At 37.0% G+C, this 5,738-nt stretch overlaps 1 annotated feature.

Annotated features, from left to right (window-relative positions):
• Nucleotides 244-745: an enhancer, noted in NCBI's record as "NANOG hESC enhancer chr3:31167054-31167555 (GRCh37/hg19 assembly coordinates)". NCBI's record gives its function as "activates a minimal SCP1, AML or CMV promoter by ChIP-STARR-seq in primed H9 embryonic stem cells {active_cell/tissue: H9 hESC(primed)}" and the evidence as "EXISTENCE:reporter gene assay evidence [ECO:0000049][PMID:30033119]".

Here is a 5,738-nt window from a genome sequence, read left to right as displayed (position 1 = left end):
TTCCTGTTAATCTTTTGTCAGTTTAATTTGCACTCCTCCAAGTGCTGAACTGAAGTGGGTAGAGAAAAAACTTTTCCTCCCTAACATTACCTACCTAATTTTTACGTGATTATTTAAATTGCATAAATGAGGAGTGCAGGAAGAGTGAAATGTGTTAAAAAAAAAAAAAAAAAGTCTAGCCCAGAGTTAGCAGATACTTGCCAAGGCAAGGATTGTATATGTACAAGTTCCCCACAGTCCCTTAGCACTACGGGAAGTGGTAGTTTATTTCTCTCTCCTTCTACCTTGTTCAAAGGCGAGGCACTTGCTCCTGCATCCTCAAACTGTAGGTTTTAGCAATTTCCTTGCATGAAAACTGGGTTTTATCTCTGGGAGTTCCACGCTGCTGTGGTGCTAAGAAGGGGTTGAAAAGAAGCTCAGCAGGCCCTACTAAGAAACTTAATTTAACAGTTTTCAACTTCTGGCAGGAGCTGGTTAATCTTGTTTAAAGAAGGCCTGGACTTCTAATTTGAGCCTTTTATCATTTGCATCAAGAATGTGCTTCCTAAATTGCCATAAGACATTTGTCTGAAATGGAAGTCAGGTTAAGAACAAGACCAACAAGGAGAAAATAGGCTACTTAGTGAAAAGAGACATTACTGAGGATAAAGGACACCTGGAGGTAAATCCGCAGCAAGTAGCAGCTCTTAATCAACCATCCCATATCATGTGCAAATGCCCTACCCTTCCTTACCTCACTGCTACTGCAACCGTCACATTTTAGGAGCTCTCCACAAACCTCTCTGCTTTCTGGAACCATCCTTCCACCTACCAGAGAAATTATTCCTATACCTTATCCCCTAGCAATGCTTCTCAAACCTTAATGTGCATATAGATCACCTGGTAATCTTGTTAAACTGCAGATTCTAATGTAGCAGGTCTGCAATGGGGGCTTGAGATGCTGCATTGCTAATTTGCTCCCAGGTAATGCCAAGGCTTCTTGTCCATAGACCACACCTGGAGTAGCTGAGCACTTATAGGACCTTCTTGATTTTTTAAAATAGTACTTATGGCATGAACTGGGTTTATTTCTAGAGAAGAAGGCACAAAAGAGGAAAAAGAATGTCTACTGAGCACCTATCATATACCAAGCACTTGAAGCTCATTTGATGCTATTTTTTTTACCTCAATGTAATCACTTAAGCGCGGTCCTCCACATGGAATAGCCCTGTATTCCACCCCCACATTTCTGTGTCACTGAATACTGAATCACCTTTTAAGACTCCATCCAGGTATCCTATATTCAATAGATCTTTTCCTGAAAGGAAAAAAACATAACCCAATTCATCCTGTACCCTGAGTCTCTAGCAATATCTGACATTCATTAATAGTGTTGACATTGTGGGGGAGGAGAGAGCTTTTCTTCTTTCTTCTTAGGTTAAGCGTCTGAGGACTGTGAATTGAACTGTTAAATGATAGATTAACAGGAGACAGAGCATACAAACTTTAATTTTACATACATGAGGCCTCTACATAAAGGAAATGAAAACCCAAAGAAGCTGACTCAGTGCTTATATACCATTTTAACAAAGAGTGATAAATTGTGAAGTGACTAGACAAAGAAAAGCAGAGGTTGAGCTCTAGGGGCAGCACATTGTGGGAAAGTTAATAACAGGGGAAATGAATGGAAGACAGGATAATTTAGTAAGATTTCTTAGTGAAGATTCATGTTGGTGCTAACTTTTCCATCTGGTTTGTGGCCAAACCACCCCCAACCCCAGCCCGACAAGATTAATGGCAATCCTCATTTCTCAGAAGTTTCTGCTTTTAGTCAGATAAGGAAAGCCCTGAAAATGTTTCTTTCTGCATCTGTTGATTTTCAGTTGCCTTCAGCTCAAAACAATTCATACACCACAGTGGCATATTTTGGAGTGGCATATTCTGATCTCTTTCAGCATTCAATAAATGTTTAAAAGAGGACTAAGAAATCCCTAATAAGCCTGAAAAAGAAATATTATCATCTCGATTTTATAAATGGGGAATCTGGGGCTCAAAACGTTTATGTGACTTGTTCAGGGTCACACAGTAAGTATTAGAGACCCAGGTGTGTATTATTGTAAGATCAAAACACTTTAATTATGCTACTTTGAGTTTCAAAAATTTTTTAAAAGGCAACTTATTAAAAGTTGTAACAGGTGATATTTTCTCAAGTTTCCTGTTATTGTGTTTTCCCCCCGATCTCTGCTGTTACTATGGAAATTCTAATAAGTACTTGTTTATATCATTTTTACTTTTAGGTATCAAGCTTGAGACTAGATGCTCAAGTTGAATATTATAATATACTTTAATTGTTCACAGTACAAAGTGCATCCCAGCAAAATTGAAGCAAGGCAAATTTGGAAAGTGGCAGAGTGTATCTTGTGATGTCTCCCTGATATTTTGGCCTTTTCTTCTTCTCCTTCTCCCATATAATACCTTGGCCTGGGGGGTCCAAGTCTCCCTACTGTCTAATCCTACCAACGTGCTAAGCAGGGGCTGAAAACTCAAACGCTTGCAGCAAGCTGGGCATTAAACAAAAGGTGACAAGGTGCTTGTATTGAAGTCTAGCATCACACTTGCCAGGTACTTCACACTTTGCCCTTTAAAATATCAAACTGGTAAAATGAATCAGATAAATAATATCCAGATGTTGTTATTTAGTAGCAGTGAAGAAAAGCATGGTAGTTCCTGATTTCAGTGGACCTAGTTTCATTTAGTAGTCAGGTACTCCTTGTTCATGTTCCTCCTTACTTTCCTAAAATACCCAATGCATTTAGTTGCTTACCTCCTTTAGGTACTCAGCCTTCCATGTTGTTCCCCTGTGGATCCATCTCCCTTGCTTTCCTCCACCAATCTCCTCCATCTCTGTTTTGCCTCATCTCTAAATCTCTACAGCAAATTGATAAACAAATCATGGCTAATAATGTCTAAATAGTTACTCAAGAACTATTTGCATTTTACCAAATGTAATAGGTGATATAATAGAAGAAAGTGACAACTAGTAAGAATATTAAGACTAGGTTCGAGGTATGAGCACCTCTCTAATATCTTTCAAATGACAGTATTTAGCTGACAATTGACTCCAGGTTTATAATTGTTCTCCAGGTCTGGGGCTCTGCCTTCATTTTAGGGCAGTATTTCTCAAAATTAGTCTGTAGGTCACCTAAATCAAAATTTCCCATGAAACTTATATAACTTCACCCTTACATGACAAAAAAGTAAAGATAAATGAGTAAATACATGAATAAAGGAAAATCAAAAGTTTGTTCTCCAAATGTCAAAAACGAATAAAACAAATATACCTAATTGTGTATCAAATTGGTGACATAATATGAGAGTTGGCAAATTACAGTCTGTAGGACCAAACAGATCTGATGCCCATTTTTGTAAACAAAGTTTTACTGGAACCCAGTCATACCCCTTGGTTTCCTTATTATCTATGGCTGCTTCTCTGCAACAATTGCAGAGCTCAGTAGTTGCCACAGAGACTGATGACCTGCAAAGCCTACAATATTTGGCATCTGGGTTTTTACAGAAAAAAAATTGTCAACCCCTGATATAATCACAGATGAACATAAATGTTTCACATGACATTAGATTAGACTTTCTAGTCTGTACATCCTTAATGGGATCTATTCTATGGACAAAAAGAGCTGCAAAGAATTCTGCAGGACTGCTGTTATTAACCATATTGGCATAGTTGTTTTGAAACTATTCTGTGTATATAGGATGGGAAATGAAATAAGTCATTATGTTAATGTTGTTGGCTACCAGGATTGTTAGTGTGAAAGAAACGAGAAAGGTATAAAATCAAAGAGATTAAAATACTGTAATGTTAACTTTTATTTTTCTCATTTACAACATTTTTCCTAACTACATCTTCTAAAAAGGCCTTGAAGCAACACCAATCTTGTAACACTGAGCACTGGAGCCCAGATGATGGTTTCTAAATACCACTATTCACAGAAATGAAATAGAACTTGAAGAAATGGCTGATTTCGTATTTGGGGTGGGAAATGGACAAGATGAGTGTGGATTATCTTGATGAGCCAGAAATCAAGGAAGGTATCAAAAGCTAGGAGAGTCATGTCCAAAGGACGTTGGAGCCAAACTGAAGGATCTTATTAGCCAAAGATGAGAAAATTTGAGCATCAAAATACAAACAAATGAAACAAACTGGACCAAAAACCCTCTGGTCGTTCTTGAAGGTAGCTGGATCATGACACCTTCTGTTACTAATTGATAATTAAAGGAAAAGAAAAAATTTATTTTGCCTGCCCATATGAACTGTATTTCAGGATAATCAACCTAGTTAATATGGGAAAGTTGGTTTTATGGAAAAAAACTCCTGCTAGTAAAATAGAGAAGAAATGATAAAATTTTTAAATGACCACTTGCAACTCTTAATAAAAATAGTGCCAAAATCATTAGAAGACTTGCAGATTAAGTATTTCACAAAAGAGAGATCAGGATTTTATGATCTGAACTTGCTGATCAAATTTTCACCCATAAAAGTGGAACCATCAGACTTTATGTGACTCCTGATAAGATGCAATGTGAAGTGCATAGAACCAACTATGAAAAACATTGAATGTGAATCTAGTCAAGTTTTTAGATCTAACTTGTAGTTTACAGGAAGTACAGGGGACAGAGGGACGAATTAATAGATGATACAACCAGACAAATCTAGAATGTGAAGCATCCCACCAGCTTCGCTTATTTCTTGAAAAAGTCAGTGGTGTGAAGGGGGAGGAGAAGGGTATACTTTATAGGAAAAGAGATTTAAGAAACATAACAATCAAATACAATATATCACCTTATTTGGGGCCTGATTTGAACACATGAGCTACAAAAGCTGCCTTTGAGATAGTCAGAGAAATTTGAATCTGGACTGGGTATTAGATGATATCAAGGAAATATTGTTGGCTTTGTCAGGTGTGATACTGGTGTTGAGGTTATATTTTTAAATGTCTTTATGTATTAGAGATGCAAATATTTGTAGTAACATGGCATGCCGTCAGAAATTTTTCTTAAAAGCTACAACAAAAGAAGGGAAGGAGAACTGAAGTAGAGCAAAATATTGATAATTTTTAAATTTGGCAGATGGATTATGGTGTTCATTATACAATTTTTCCTACTTTGGTGTATTTTTAAAAACTGTCATTATAAGAAGCTAAAAAAGTAACTACCTGATCCTAACAATCAACCCCCTGGGGCATAAACCCCAGAGAAATTCTCATTCAAGACATGTATACAGTTGTTCATTGCAGCCTTGTTTGTAGTAGCAGGAGGTAGAGTTGAACACAACCTACTGTACTTTTCTATCACCAGGGGAATGCATACATAAAGGGTGATGGAAATATACTAAGATATACTAAGCAGCAGTTAGAAGCCACAAATTCTGTGGGATGCACTCTCAGCAATCTGGGTAGCTCTTAAAAATAGAGTGTTAAGAGAAAAAAGTAAGAAACAGAAAAATTTATACCAGAATTTAATTTATATATACAGTTGTCCCTCAGTATCCTTAGGGGATTGGATTCAGGACCTCCTGAGGTTACCAAACTTTGAAGGTATGCAAATACCTTATGTTAAATGGTGTAGTATTTGCATATGACCATGCACATCCTCTTGTGTACTTTTATGTCTAGATTACCTAATACAATACCTACACATCACTTCGTGTATGTGAACTCAATGTAGTACTCAACATGCAGCAAATT

This window comes from Homo sapiens, chromosome 3 (assembly GCF_000001405.40).
Source record: "Homo sapiens chromosome 3, GRCh38.p14 Primary Assembly".
NCBI classification, from domain to species: Eukaryota; Metazoa; Chordata; class Mammalia; order Primates; family Hominidae; genus Homo; species Homo sapiens.
The sequence above is the reverse complement of the archived record's forward strand: the minus strand, read 5'-3'. Positions and strand labels throughout refer to the sequence as shown.